Consider the following 16912-nt stretch of genomic DNA (forward strand, 5'->3'; position numbering starts at 1 on the left):
TAAATTTACCTCAAGCAAAATGATTTTGCTAACCTCAGGCTTTCACAAAATCTGACGAGATCTGCTTCATATGAGGTAGAAGGAAATCTCAAGGAAGTGAATGAGTCATAGGAAAAATGAACTCTACAAATGCAAAAAACTCTGTGAAAAAATATGATTAATATTTAAGTTAAAAATAATAAATCACTTTATTATCAAGGTTAATGCATTGTTATATTGACTAGAACAGGATATACACATATATGTATATAGCTTTTCCCTATTTCACTGAGATTAATCATTTTATATTAAATAATATAAGCAATTGTTAGAATAATCTCTTTTGTCTTAATTGTCAAAGTAAGTTTTGCATTGTGATGGCTTATTCAGGATTAATTTATATCATAGAGATCTCATAACTGCTTACATAATCCTATGTAAAAAAGAAATGTCAAAAAGAAAAATTCATTTTTGAAAGGTACGTTATCTGACAGAAATAGCATGAGACAGTTTTTAATGCTTTTAATTTAATGATTTCATGGCACTAAAATTGCAGCTTCACTCAAACATATTTAATTTATTCCATAATTCCACACAATTATTGCTATTGCTTTTGATTAGGTAATGAAAACTGCAAAATTACTTGCATTATTAAACATTACAATTACAAACTAGTTAAACTGTTTATTGATGTCAAATCATACCTATTTAGAGATTTGGGTTCAAAATATATTTCAATTAGTTATTTTACTCCATATTTTCTGTGCAATTTATACTCAACACAGACTTTTCCAATTGTCCTTCAGGGGTCAAGCATCCTGTTCTGGTTCATTTTGATGAAGGTGAGTTACTCTACATCATCTGGAAGGAAACTTGTGCTATTCTTTGGTGCTATAACCAGCTGCATTACTGAAAGCAGGCTCTGTCCTTACACATTATAGATGGATAGCTTCAGATAAGAAAAAGCTATCTTAGTGAATGTTGGCCGGAATTTTGATGTTTCTGTCTAGTAGGTGATAGGGTTATCATTCACATCTCTAGGTGATTTGAGAAGATGGCTGTCTGGAGCAATAGATAAAGACTCATTGGACTGTTGCAGAGGAAAAGAAATTCAAGAGAAGCGTGTGAATTTATTACTAAGAAACAAGTGCCATAGTTTACAGGCTAAGGAAAAAAAGGATAGAACATGTGTGAAAAATCAGCTGCATTTTCTTTTTGATAGCATGATCTGTGCTATTGGATTATATAAAAGAAGTTAGCAGGTGAGGGATATATCCAGTTTATTGGTTATTTTCTTTTAATCAAGCAACATGATGACAAATTTGGAGTAAAGTTGTAAAATAGCTCAGGTCAAATGGCAAGATTATAGAGCATATACAATTATATGAATTATATAATATATACAACATGCCTTACAGTAAGTAGAATGAAAGAGGTTGCAGGTGCTAGGACCAGTTTTATGCTGAGAGAATTCTTTTCTCTTTCAATATATATTTAATTTTTAGTAGAATTATCTTAAAGAAATTATTTAATGGCTTTGGGAGATATGAATATTACATATATAACAGATAAGTGTAAGTTTTATTTATTTAGCACATATTTACTAAAATATAGAGAGGAGTTTATTAAATAAGAATACAAAATCTAATCTATATTGTGAATTCTAACAAGAAAACTTCTATGAATGTAATTGAGTTAAAAGGATATGAACTTTGAATTGGAAAAACATGGACTTTTCTGAGGACTCTTACTGGGTGTTTATGTTGGAAAATATACTTAATCTGCAACTCTTAGACTGTTTAGCAATATATGTATATTATACATATTATATATATATATATAAAATCTCTCCTTGACTCAATGTACTCATTTTCAAAAGGGGATTACACTACCTACCGCATAAGATTACAGAAAGGAATAAGGTGAATGAAAACCATCTATTGCAATATCCAAAGTAGCAGGCATTCAGTAACTGCCGGTTATATTCTTTTTTCTTTCTGGAAATTTTGTAATAATTTCTCCTCACATGTTTACTTACTATAGCAGGGAGAAGTTCCTAAAGTAAGCTTTGGGGGCATGTCAGATTCCAGTTAATTATCACTTCAAAGAATCAAAAAGTAGGTAATTGTAACCTCCTTGTTTTCTTAAAATCCTACTTCTGAAAATCTTGGTGACGTTTATATACAGTGAATTAGCTAATCTGTTCTTATGGTTAAATAAGCCTCAGGTTTTTCTTTTGGGGAGACCATTGCTTAAATTGTCTCTAATATTTATCCCCATTTTGGCTAATTCACAGTTTATCGATTATGGCTTTCTGGCATTTTTCTTGAATACTTACGCAATGCCAACCCTTCTCTACAGCAGTGGTCCCCAATCTTTTTGGAGACCAGAGACCAGTTTCATGGAGGAGACTTTTTTTACGGATGAGAAGGATAGTTTCAGGATGAAACCATTCCACCTCAGATCATCATAAGGAGGGTGCAGTGTAGATCCTTCACACGTGTAGTTCACGATAGGGTTCTTGCTCCCATGAGAATTTAATGCTGCCACTGATCTGACAGAGATGGAGCTCAGGTGGTAATGTTAGCACAAGCATTTCTCTCCACCTGCCTTGCAGTCCAGTTCCTAACAGGCCACGGACTGGCCCACGACATAGGGATTGGATACCCCTGCCTATAGTATTGTCTTCAATAGGATGACTTTACATTTGCCATTAATCATCTTCATTCTCTTTTTTCTTTCTGACTCTACTCTTGTAAGGTTGATTTAGAATTCTGTTCCTGTTCCCTTAGATTAATGAATGACTGGAGGATTATCATTATCACAGTCATTTCAAGGTGAAGATTAGGAGATTGTTAAAAATGTATGTTTTCACCTAGGCCTACTGAATTAATACCTCTAGGGACAGGTCCAAGTAATTTATATCTGTTTGTCTCTCAGGTGATTGGTGACCATTCAGTTTGAGAATTCTGTTCTAAGTGAAAATTTTCTGGGGTGTTTTCCCTACCATCAGCCAATTTTCCTATTCTCTAGATACCAACTGTGTCTTCAATAATTTAATTCAATTCTGATACTAACTACCTAGAGTTAGAGTCAGACTCCACAGGTTTAAAGGCTCAGTTCCATAAGACTGTCCTCACTCCAGAGGCCAGTCTAAAGTATCAGGCCCCCAGCTTACACACATTTCTGTTCAACTTGGCTACAAATCTGTAGGTTCTCAACTACCTCAAGTTTGCTAGAAACATTTTACTTAATGTTTACTGGTTGATTATAAAAGACACAAATGCAGGCCTGCCACTCTCCCAGCGTCTCATTGTGGTCATCTTAAGTATGAGTTAACACATAACTATTAGAGCATTGTGTATTGTTATTAAAAAGTCCTGTGCTTTCAAATACATTTTAATAATTTTTCTGTTTGTCCTAATGTGATAAGTGAAGAATTCTAAATGGATGAAGATTTATAACTACATACATTTAAAATTAGGAAGCATATTTCCCTTCTCATTTCTAGAGATTTGCTATATCCTCCCTTTTACTGGCGAGTTTCTTCAGGGCAGGAAAAATTGTGTATAATTGAATTAGCTAAAACCTCCATATTTACTTATATAGGCTGTAGTCTAAGAAAATGTGACTTCCCCCCCCAAATCAACTCATCATTTGTAATATGTAATTACTAGTGAGTTATCATTAAAAGACAGACACTTAATTGAACAGCATGTTAAAATAATGAAACTATATTCCCAAATTGGACTAAAAAGTAATATACTTTCCAGACATTCTCTGGAATCTTATAATCCCTCAGAATACCATTATAATCCATTCTATCTACTTTGAATTTTTGTTTTTTGTTTTTGTTTTTGTTTTGAGACCGAGTCTTGCTCTGTTGCCCAGGCTAGAATGCACTGGTGCGATCTTGGCTCACTGCAACCTTGGCCTCCAGGGTTCAAGCAATTCTCATGCCTCAGCTTCCTGAGTAGCTGAGACTACAGGTGCCCACCACCACGCCCGGCTAATTTTTGTATTTTTAGTAGAGACGGGGTTTCACCACATTGCCCAAGCTGGCCTCCAACTCCTGGCCTCAAGTCACCTGCCCGCCTCAGCCTTCCAGAATGCTTGGATTACAGATGTGAGCCACCACAACTGGCCATTCTATCTACTTTGTAGGTCACTTGCAGAACAAATGTCAGCTTTCTATAATGGATTCCCTGGAATGTGACTTAAAGTTAGTGGTATAATGTTCTAAGCTGTTAAATATTTGGAAATGAACTGGGAAAAATAGCACATACATTCTATCTACAATTTCTCTTTCCCGTACAGCTGATCTATTGAGTTTATCTCTATGAGAATTTTGAACAAGTCACACTACTTTTCTACTACGGCAATTCTTGCCAGATTTGAAATAAGGCTACAATGTTTACAATGTGTACTATATTATAAAAACAATATATATTCTCTATAAAAATGTAAAATGAATGTCTTACCATAAAGATATATCTACTCCAACCAAGCAAATCAGTTTTAATTTATATATTTGTGATTATTCTAGACCTAGTAATTTTGAAGTTAATTTTATAATACAAATACTTCCAGCCAATAAATTATTTTAGCCTCATATTTAAAGGTGCATAATATTTAAGGTGACCTTATGTTTTAGTTTGCCTGTCAGTTCCGGTTTATACCTGTTGCATAGGCTCTCTTGAAATTATCCTCATTAAAATTGTCTCCAATTGAACAAAAATTTTATATGGTCATTTAAAAAATATTCTTTAGAAAGAACCCCTATAGTATTTTAATTTTGTTCTATATTATCCATTTAGATTGTTTTCTAAAATACCAATTGTAAAAAAAATGCTAATATTTTAACATAGAATTTATTTTTCTTATCTACAATTATTATTTGATAAAATTTCTAATTATTATTTGGTAAAAGTTCTAAGTTAGTAGAATACAATATGCTATTTTCACACTTTTGTTGCATATTGCTGGTTACTGGTGCAATTTATTTTCCCAAGATGGAAGTGAGATCTTTTTCAACCAGTTTACTGCTGCATGTACTCTGTGTTCTCATGGCATCATCCTCTCAGCAAACACAAAACTCAGCACAAATACTTAACCATAAAAAAATTGAAGAGTATCTAAATTGCTTTCTCTTTTGTAGATGACAAGAACAATGTGGTTCTTCATCAAACCTCTGCAGCTCAGACATGAGTTAGAGATGTTCTTTAAAAAATGGAGATCAAAATAAATTTTAATATTTGTGTATGTGTAATGTGTTACACACACACATACTAACATGCATACACACACTTATGCCCGTGCACACACTCACCATCACCCACCCATATGTGTGTGTGTGTGTATAAATTGTAAGCTTTCCAAAGTGGCATAAGTAACTTTAGAGCAGAGATTACATTGTATTGTATCCAGTGTCAGATAACTAGAATAAATACAATTTAATTGTACGCTTTTGCCATAGTTCTGAGAAGGATCAGACAATACGTATGAATAGTTCCCCTTTTAAAGTAAATAATGTATAGATTTTTTATATTTTGATCAATGAGTTAAATACTATAAATAAATCAGCATGTGCTTAAAACTTTTCTTGGTGCTGAAAAGCTTGCTTTTCTTTATTAAAATAACAATTTTGTTTTTAAAAATTATTATGCTGAGCACGGTGGCTTGAACCTGTAATCCTAGCACTTTGGGAGGCCGAGGTGGGCAGATCACAAGGTCAGGAGTTCAAGACCAGCTTGGCCAACATGGGGAAACCCCATCTCCACTAAAAATACAGAAAATTAGCCAGGCATGATGGTGTTTGTCTGTAATCCCAGCTACTCAGGAGGCTGAGGCAAGAGAATCACTTGAACCTGAGAGGCGGAGGTTGCAGTGAGCCAAGATTACAACATTGCACTCCAGACTTGGTGACAGATCGAGACTCTCTCTATATCTATATCTATATCTATATCTATATCTATATCTATATCTATATCTATATCTATATCTATCTATATCTTTTTCTGTTCATTCTGAATTCTATGAATATCCAAAGCTCAATGTTAGTGACCTGATTCCTGATTAAAATTTTGATGATAGGTCATGTAGACATATTACTTTATTCCTTTGAATGTTTCTAAATTTTGTTTGTCTTCTATTATGATCTTACATATTTTATTTTGAAGTACAGCTATCTCTAAAAAGCCTCATTTTTTTGTTTACAAAATTCAATTCCTTCCATATCCCACTCATGTTCATTTACTTTGTATCATCTCATTTAGCTCTTTATGTAGTAGAGCCAATAGTGGCTTCTTGCACAAATAAATGGAACTAATAAAGTGATTATCAGTATTTACTGAGTGATAAGCATGCATTTAACAGATAATCCTTGATGAAAAGGAGACAAGAAGGTTCGAATGTGTAAGTAGAGAGACAGGACAAATAGGCAAAAAGAGCAATAGTCCAAATACCAGATGACTGAGACTTACTGCTTTTTCTACAATAGCCTATCTACATAAAATTGGAAGAGGCTTGAAGATCTTTTGGTGTCAGTTTCCTCATGTTTACAGTAGTAGGAGGCTACAGATATCTCTAAAATACTTCTGTTCTAAAAGACTCTGCAATTTTAAATGTGGATATATTTTATCACAAACATGTTAATGCATTTGCAATTTGGAGTAAAAAAAAAAAAAATCCTGAATGCTTTAGTCCCTAATAGTTAAGTAACTTTTCACGGAGCTTTGTCTATACATTTTTTTCGATATAATGTCTTCGGAAGATATATTTTATCTACTAAATAAACTAGATTCCATAAAATGTTTCTTATTAGAATTTGGTGTCACAGTATTTTTATCAATTATGTGTACTACTAAATAAAACAACAATAATCTTTGATGGAATTATTTTCAGTTTATCCACTAATTTGAGAAAGCCAGGTCCAAGAGAGTTATTTTATTTTGAAAAACTCTGATAGGAAAGAAGAATCTGTTCTTTTTCTGAGTATTAGAGAAGTCTGCAAAGACTGCAAAGTTAATCACAGATTGAAATCAGTAGTGATGACTTAAGGTTTTTCCTTTGTGTAAAAATACATAATTTCGGCCGGGCGCAGTGGCTCACGCCTGTAATCCCAGCACTTTGGGAGGCTGAGGTGGGTGGATCATGAGATCAGGAGATCGAGACCATCCTGGCTAACACAGTGAAACCCCATCTCTACTAAAAACACAAAAATTAGCCGGGCCAGGCATGGTGGCAGGCGCCTGTAGTCCCAGCTACTCGAGAGACTGAGGCAGGAGAATGGTGTGAACCTGGGAGGCAGAGCTTGCAGTAAGCTGAGATCATGCCACTGCACTCCAGCCTGGGCAACAGAGCGAGACTCTGTCTCAAAAAAAAAAAAAACATATATATATATATATATATATATACACACACCACACATATATATATATATATATATATATATATATATATATATATATATATATATAATTTCTACAAGAGTGAGTAGAGGAGGAAGGCATTTCAGAATGAGTTGCTTTACTAGGTTTCCTTCAATGTCAATAGAATGAAACCCATAGCAAACTTATTTCAGAAAATGTTGCATTTGTTCTGAGTGTATAACTTAGGTCAGAGAGCAAAACATGATATTAAGACAAAGTTATTACATTTTTAAAATACTATATAAGAATTGTTTTTAAATATTTATATTAAACACTATAAATGTTTAAACCAAATTGTATATATTATATAGACATCAAATTCTACACTAGGCATGTGAATCCCTCTGTTTAACTGTGTGTAAAAATTTACCTGCAAAATAATATTAAGTTCTGCACTTCTTCGTGTTAAAGCGTTTACAAATGAATTTTGTATTATAACCATCAGTACACTAGGGTTATAATGATCTATTTTTCAAATTTAAAATGCTAGTGTATGTATCTATGTATCACTATACATTTTAATGGAACAATTTGGCCACATTGATTTTACTCTGTTCACATTGGAAAAGTTGATTTTTTTATGTGTTGACTACTCTAGGAAACCTCTCTATTTAATTTTATATCCTTATCATGGATTTTGTATTTAAAAATTCCAAAGATTTGCAAGTCATGATGTATATTTCATAAGAGACCATTTCTGTCATGGTTTTGTTACACAAAGTTCTTTAGAAATCTTGTCAAAGTTAAGTTATAATTATGTTTTGTGTCTTTATCAATTGCATGGGTCTATAACTCTATTTGTGATAGGTTAAACAGATGAAAAATATTGGCTTGCAACAAAGCTTCGTTTTATCTTTTGACATATTCCCATAATTAATTAGTGGCTTTTGGGGAGCTAAAAAGATGATCCCAACTTGTTACAGTGTTATAATTTACTGAATATTATGATTGCCACCTTTAATGACACAACGTACAAAGGCTAATGATACATTAGACAGTATAAGAGTGCCAATTAAAGGGTAATGGTCATTCCAAAGGTTAATGCTTGTAACTCTTGAAAGAGAATAAATTGATCTAATACAATTTATTTTAAGAGAAAACTTCCCTTCTATGATGCTGTGACTAATTATCCTATTGGCAATTCAGTAGACATACATAATCATTCAATCCACTACTATCAATGTCTTAATAAAAGCTTTGGAATGTGGAAAGTGTGAAGCTTTTCACACGCAAAAAGGAACTTTACATAGATGATGATTATTTGACTGAGAGAAAAGGCAAGCTGTTTGAAAGTTTGAGAGAATTTAGAACATACCCCGTAAAAATGCCACAACCATATGATGATATTAAAATGTTAAGCAAATGCTATCACTATACGTGCTGTTCACATACATGCACATATTTATATATGAACACCAGTCAGAATTTAGTTTCCTTTTGAAAAGCTCAAGAGTTTGTAGAGTGACACAGAACAAAATTAATAGCTCTCTAAATAATAGGCTAGAAGAAAGAACTATCGTATCTGAGCATTATGAACCTTACCTCGTTCTGAAAAGGAGCTGAAGTAAAGTGAGAGAAATGGTCTGCTGGCTCCTAATTCGTGAAGTGACAATGATGAATGAATGGGAGTTAGCTCCAGCTGTAGCTGCATTTTAGCTCTTGCATACTTTCAGCTGCTAGAGACACTGAAAACACACACACACACACACACACACACACACACACACACACACACAATTTCCTAGTAGCAACACCAAAAAAAATGCCTTTTCTAAAGTAGTGTCTAAACAGTCTCCATGAAGAAGTCCGTTCATTCATCTGTGAGGGAACCCTTTTTTGTTAGCAGCTACAAAAACATCCAATGGCATGTAGCTCTTTCAAATATATATCACATAGATTGGAAACATTCTAATTAGTCATTTCAGTTTTTCCAAAGTTAAACAAGTTAGCCATTCTGTGGAGAGATAGAATACAAAAAATTGTTAGTTTATCTCTGCTCAAGATTGTTTGAAACAGAAAACATGCAAAACACAAGGCTAAATTTAAGGAGAAGAAAATAAACTCGTGATTTTTACCTGTTACCTTACTTTTCTCAGGTCCAACTTTAGCCCCAATTTTATATAAAAATCATTCCTTAAAAATAAGTCACCAAAATCTTACTGGAAAACCAAAAGTCTTTTCTCCATTTCTCCTCATTCATTTACTCAAGATTAAAGTTAAACTGTTTCCATATCCAGGAATCAATGTGCCCACAGTCACTCCGCTAGATCCATCACACCTGTGCAGTAGATAATCATAGAGACATGCAGAAGGGCAGAACAGGAGAACATTGCTTAATTTCTCTGAATTCAAATTATGCATCTAAAACATGGAAATTAAAATAACTACCACAAATTTAATTATGACTATTAAGTGAAAACATTTGAGAGTTGATAAACCTTAGCTACTCTTAATCTATATATAAATTTTTATCTGGCTTATTTCTTTAACTTTTTCTTCTCCTGGATATTAATTAATTTTGAATGCTTGTAATAATTCTGATACAGTCATGCACTGCATAACAACATTTTGGTCAATGACAGACCACATATATGAAAGTAGTCTCATAAAATTTTAATGGAGCTGAAAAATTCCTATCACCTAGTGACATTGTAACCACAATAATGTCCTAAAAAATGCGTCACGATGTATTCGTGATGATGCTGGTGTAAACAAACATATTTGGATACCAATCATATAGAAATATAAGCCCATATAATTATGCACAGTACCGAATACTTGATAATAATAATAAATGACTGTTACTGATTTATGTATTTATTATACTATACTTTTTATCATTATTTTAGAATGGAATTCTTCTATTTATGAAAAAAACAGCCTCAGGCAAGTCCTTCAGGAGGTCTTCCGGAAGAAGGCATTGTTATCATAAGAGGTGACAGCTCCACGCATGTTACCGCCCTTAAAGACCTTCCAGTAGGACAAGATGTGAAAGTAGGAGACAGAGACACTGATGAACCTGAGCTTGTGTAGGCCTAGGCTAATGTGTGTGTCTGTGTGTTAATTTTTAACAAAAAGCTTTAAAAGGAAAAATATAATTAAATATAAAACAGCCTTATAGAATAATGATATAAAGAAGAAAAATATTTTTGTACAGCTGTACAATGTGTCTGCCTTTTCAGCTACATGTTATTACAGAGTCAAAAAGTTAGAAAAAAATAAAAATTTATAAAATAGAGAAATTACAGTAAGTTAAGGTTAACTTATTGAAAAAAATTCTTATAAATTTATTGTAGCCTAAATGTACAGTGCTTATAAAGTCTATGGTAATGTACAATAATGTCCTAAGCCTTCACATTAACTCACCACTCACTCACTGAATCATGGAGAGCAACTGTCAAACTGGAAAGCTTCATTCATGATAAATGCCTTATATAGGTACACCATTTATTATCTTTTATATTGTATTTTTGCTGTACCTTTTGTATGTTTAGATTCACAAATACATACCATTGCATTACAATTGCCTACAGTATTTAGTAAAGTAACATATGGTACAGGTTTGTAGCCTCAAAGCAATAGGCTAGAACAGATAGCCTAGGTGTGTCGTGGGCTATCACATCTAGGTTTGTGTAAGTACACTCTATGATATTTACACAAGAACAGAATTAACTGACACATTTCTTAGAATTTATCCTCCATCATGGCTGGGCGCATTGGCTCATGCCTGTAATCCCAGCACTTTGGGAGGCAAAGGCAGACGGATCACTGGAGGTCAGGAGTTCGAGACCAGCATGACCAACATGGTGACACCCCGTCTCTACTAAAAATACAAAAATTAGCCAGGTGTGGTGGTGGGTGTCTGTAATCCCGGCTACTTGGGAGGCTGAGGCATGAGAATTGCTTGAACCCAGGAAGCGGAGGTTGCAGTGAGCCAAGATTGCACCACACCATTGCACTCCAGCCTGGGCAACAAGAATCAGACTCAGTCTCAAAAAAAAAAAAAAAAAGGAAAGAAAAGAAAGAACTTATCCCCCATATCATTAAGCAACATATGACTGCAGTTATAAATTAAATTATGCATATGTACGTTTTAATAACCTCTTTTTAAATATCTACCTATTTATAACCTTTTCAAATACATCTTGCTTTCCCTCTCTCTCTTGAACATAGACAATGGCAGCAAGGCCATTGAGAGTCTAAAGAAGAATATCTCCAAGCAGGAGTCGCTCCTCAGGGCACATAACCTCAACGACAAGAGTTACACATTCCTGATTTCCTCTGACTATGAATATGTCTAACAGAGGGAGAACTTGTGGAAGCAGCAGCAGAAGTATTTCAAAAGCTTTTCTCTGATGTTTGTGGAGCTACAGATGTTGATCAACATGTCTGTCAAACTTCAGACTGCTCACAACATTCTAATGACTGTCAACAAAGAAGATGGTGAATCTCCTGAGTATTACAGGTTTCTGAATATTGTAGTCCACTCCACCACCAGACTAAAGCAGAGCTTATGTCTGTACTGAACCCTGGAGATAGATTTCTATTGGTGTTTTGTCAATTATATATACTTAAAAATTTGAGAAAGGTAATATTTCAAATAAACAACAAATATATTGCCTATTGAAGATGCAACATGCATGCATATACATTACTTAATATAAGAAATAAAATATATTGTGATCTTTCTACTCCTTAGCTCAGCTGGGTCCAAGTTTTTGTCTCATGACCCGGAAGAATTAGGCACATGGACACTGGAGTGAGTGGAGTAGAATTTTTTAAGCAAAAGGAAAGCTCTCAGCAGAGAGAGTGGTCCTGAAAGCAGGTTGCCAGTTACCCCCTTCACGGTTGAATACAGGGAATTTTTTTTATAAGCTGATGAGGCTGGGTTCGTTGTTTGTAACAAGGTGCAAATTCCTGGCAGCTCCACCCCATCCTTCCAGTGCACATGCGGGCTCTTAGTCTGAGCCTGTCCATATTTATTTATTTCCCTTACTGCTCATGTGCTAAGGAATGAAATTTTCCACTGTAGGCCTGTTTAGGCAAGCCTCTTGTGCAAGTTCCCTTAGCTGCATAAAGCATCTGGTATAGGCTAGGCATGGTGGCTCACATCTGTAATCCCAGAACTTTGGGAGGAGGAGGCCAGTGGATCATGAGGTCAGGAGATCGAGACCATACTGGCTAACATGGTGAAACCCTGTCTCTATTAAAAATACAAAAAATTAGCCAGGCATGGTGGCACGTGCCTGTAGTTCCACGTACTTGGGAAGCTGAGGCCAGAGAATTGCTTGAACCCGGGAGAGGGAGACTACAGTGAGCCTAGATCACACCACAGAACTCCAGCCTGGGCGACAGGGTGAGACTCCATCCCCCAAAAAAAAAAAAAAATATCTGGTGTAAGACTTGTGGGGTGCATCAGAGGTTCTCCAGGGACCCTTCTTTTACTTTCTGCATAAAACAAGTTATTTAACTCTCCACAATACTTTATCAATAAAATTGTCTTCTGTACATGCCTCTCAATTCCATTACTTTCTTCCTCCACCTTAGCTCCAAAAGAAATTGCTAATCTTAGTTTAAAAATAATTTCCTTTTTAAATTTTTTTCATCCACGATATATATTCATAACACATATCCATAATATTTTATTATTTGTTTTAAACTTAAATAGTATTATAACATAGACATTTGTCTAGGGATTTTGTTTTCACTTGGTATTATGTTGCTGAGATTCATTCATATTGCCATATGACATTACACATCTTCCAATTATCTCTGAAATTTCTCTCTTCCTTCCTTAAACCTACTTAAGCCATGTTTATCACCAAATACTCTTTAGCTAAATCTCTTGTACAATGTACAATACATATAACTACTTATATGTACACTAATATATGCATTTCCAAGAACACGGGAAAGCTATACTCATTTTACAAATTCTGTAAATAAAAATAATACTAGCAACTTCTCTGTCTAGTGTGTTCTCTATTCTTTTGTTAATTGACCATAAAATAGTAGTGAAGATGGAGTAATGGAATATGATAATTTGTGGTGGTATTTAATATGAGAACATATTTTCTTATTGTTATATAAATAAGTTTGAGACATAAAATGTTATTTACATATTCAATGAGAAAACTAATTCTAAGCCTTTGGCTTTTAAATGTTTTCTGTGACCTTTGTTGCATTGTGACAGTTGTAGCAGATATTTCACACATCATACAATGTAATTGGCATTCTGCCACAATCACTAAGCTCAGCAACAATTGTTAGCTCTAGGGAACTGCCAGGATGGAGTAAAGCTTTTTTAAACTCCATGTAATTAACAGAAATGTTTACACAGGAGAAAAAGTGGCATACTGTATCAAACTTTCCTTTTAAACATTAGTAGTTAGATTTTGAACTTGCTCTACATTTTAATATCTTAACAGTTGTAAAAAGATTCTATGTTAAAAGTATGTTCTTGTTTTATAAACCCTGTCAGCACTTAATCATTTAGCAAGATCATGTAAGTTATATCTATACACAGAATGACATTTAAGAAAATATTATTATACCCTGCATAAGTGTATATGGAGATGTGAAGGGCCAGAATGATTGAATTAAGTATAACTGGGTCAATTTAGAAGTTTAAAGTCATGTATGGAAGAAATTGTTGGTGACAAGACTGACTTTTTCAAATCTGGGTTTGGATTACTGCCTAAGATAAAATGGGCAAAAGCACATTGTAACTGTTCAATTGGGTAGAGGTTTCAGGGCACAAAGATTATGCCTGATCTCTTCAACCTCATATATCATTTCTATCTTCCTCAATTCCTAGAAAAATAAAAGATACCTGACAGTTCTGATTGCTATCTGATGTAGGTTGACTACAATTAGACTCAATAAAGAAACTCTGCTCAAAATTTAATAGATGCAACCTACTAAGTAAAAAAAGTGCTTCATTATTTAAAAATTCTTCAATTTTGTATAAATTAAAATCTATAGAAGTTTGAAAGTATTCACTAAGATTCCAAAGTATTTGAAATGCCTATGAACTTTCCAGTGAACTAAATGTGTCTTCTTTGTTTAAAGAAACATTTCTTATAAAAAGCTTAAATCTGTTTGAGTCTACATAGGTAAAGTATAAAAGAATACTTTGTTCATTAAATAGAACTACTTTATAAATGAGCATGTAATTAATAAGGAAACTTTATTTTTCTTTTTGCTTAAAATAGATGAATATAGTGAGCATTTCTGAATTTAGTTTCTAGTTGAGAATTCTATTTTATATATTTATATATCCGTATCTATCTCTCTATTAATTAATTGATATAGAGACACATGTGCTATTGTACCAAAATATTTATATGTGGAGATAAAGTGAATCCTTATTCATCTACTAAGATTTCTTTCTCTAGTTAATGTTTCTCTCAAGTATAGACTAAAAACTTGATCAAAATTGATTGCCTGGTCATAGTTTCCCACATAAATAACACACTTGTTTGTCTTCAGCATATTTTAGAAGGCACTTCTTTGGTTTAGACTCTTAAAGGACATTGAATATAAAATTACATACCACTGAAAAAAGATTGCCGAAAATGTTGAGTTCTCTGTGCTCCCAGTATAAAGAATACCATTATAGAGAGGATGTCATATTTTTACAGGGCAAATTACCAAGGCAGACACTAAACATTCAAATCATTATGTTTAAAATGCCTATCTTTTATCAGAGAAGCAGTAAAGAAATATTAGAGGCCAGTTCTCTTATTTATTTATATATTTTATCATAAATTAATCAATTATCAATTGTCAGGAACTGTTCTGGCCTGTCCTCCTTCCAGGAACATTAACAAAAATTAATTTTTCTGAGTCTATTATCATTTTGGTAATTTGGAAGCACCAATAATAATATAGTACAATGCAATATAATACAATATAATATGGCATAAGGCAACAGAATAATTTAAAGGAAAGTTTACATTCCAGGGGAACAAAGAACTTGGATGTGCAGAGGACATTAAGGAATGTAGGGTCAAGTAGAATCAGTTTTGTTGATAGCTGACAGAGGTGAGCGACCAAGAGTAACGGTAATCTGTAAGTTGATATAGGCATTGCATTGTATGTTTGGAATAGACAGATAGAGGACAGCTCCGTTATTGTTGCTTTCACTGTCTTATATCTGATTCCAGCATTCTTTGCTATCTTCAGAGAAAGACTATTTATCAGAGGAAGCCTAGAACTTCACTGGGCATTGTCATTTTGTCAAGAACTAAGGCAAATTCTACTAGGCTCCTGGAACAGAATGTTAAATCATTAGGAAAAATTTATTTGACACACAGAATAAACTACAACTGTATAGCAAAAGTCTGGTACACAATATGAGACTATTTTGAGAATGTTTATCCAAGGAAAATAAGACACATTTTTAGATGAGGCTTAATTTTTTCACATTGAATCACTTAAAAATATTCTTAATTCAATGTACTATATTAGCTGCAATTTGTGGACTGCTTAATTTAAAGGGAGTGGTCCAGGTTAGGGAAGTTGAGATAGCAGAAATTTTCTATGTAAGAGAAAACAAAATTATTGGGATGCAGGAATGCTACCTTGAAGTTAGAATGCTTGAGTTAAGTTCCTTTTTGGCTCTGCCAAGTACAAACTTGATAATATAGTTAGCTATGATTGGAAATCATGTGAAATGGTGCTTGATAAACTTTAGTGTGATTAAAAATGTCCTGGAAAAGATTGTCAAATGTGTTAATCATTGGTCTGTATCACCACACCTTGCTTCGCTAGGTCAAGATGATTGTGATGCAGTGGAGAGCCATATCAAAATTTGAAGATTAGTTTTTTTATGCTATACTTATTTTTTTTCTCTTTTGAGGAAGCAGATCCATTTTGAATTATTTAAATATCTACTAAGTCAGCTGCTGAAGGAATTGCTCTTGGGAAAAGTAGATTTATACTAAAAATATAGTAATGCTTCCATCAGCAAATAGTAATAAAGCAAAAAAATTATCTTGGACGATTTGTATTGTATGAGTTCTGCATACAAGAAACTCAAAATCTATGGTTTGGGAGTATACCTTAGCCTTTTTAGATTAAATTTTCAATCAGTATTTAATAGAATATTCTCTATGTGGAATGCACATTATTAGGCATGATGGGAGATATAACAGTGAGGCAAACTCATTATTCTTGAGGGGTTTTACAATTATGTTATTTTTATTAAGAGCTCAGAAATATGTTCTAGGTTTGGGATTTTGAAGTGGTACCTTTATTCAGTAGCCTAGAGCAGTAAACTACGAATTAGATTCTTGTATCCCCAAGGTAGAGCAGGAAACTATACATTGTGATACCAAAACAAAATCTCTCTCTCTCACACACACACACACACATACATTTAATAACATGAGGATATTAAGATTTACTAACATTTTGCTCATAGATTTATATTGGTACCCTCTCATATCCTATCAATAGAATATGATATATCACTTACGGTAAGCATAAAAGGGAAAAAT

At 33.6% G+C, this 16912-nt stretch overlaps 2 long non-coding RNA genes and 1 pseudogene across 3 annotated transcripts in view; 2 read left to right on the forward strand and 1 right to left on the reverse strand.

Annotated features, from left to right (window-relative positions):
* Positions 1-452: 452 nt before the first annotated feature.
* Positions 453-13370, forward strand: LOC124903238 (uncharacterized). The gene is made up of 2 exons (XR_007063924.1): positions 453-821; positions 11583-13370. It is a non-coding gene; the product is annotated as an uncharacterized LOC124903238 (long non-coding RNA).
* LOC105370251 (uncharacterized) overlaps positions 4946-16912 on the reverse strand; it is a 74385-nt gene continuing 62418 nt past the window's right edge. For both annotated transcript variants that reach the window (XR_942050.2, XR_942049.3), the window contains exons 4-6: positions 9485-9687; positions 8952-9363; positions 4946-5199 (exon numbers count right to left, since the gene is read on the reverse strand). This is a non-coding gene — a long non-coding RNA (uncharacterized LOC105370251). The remainder of the gene's footprint in view (positions 5200-8951; positions 9364-9484; positions 9688-16912) is intronic.
* On the forward strand, positions 11583-11970 carry BCRP9 (BCR pseudogene 9; annotated as a pseudogene).

Source organism: Homo sapiens, chromosome 13 (assembly GCF_000001405.40).
Source record: "Homo sapiens chromosome 13, GRCh38.p14 Primary Assembly".
Classification (NCBI taxonomy): domain Eukaryota; kingdom Metazoa; phylum Chordata; class Mammalia; order Primates; family Hominidae; genus Homo; species Homo sapiens.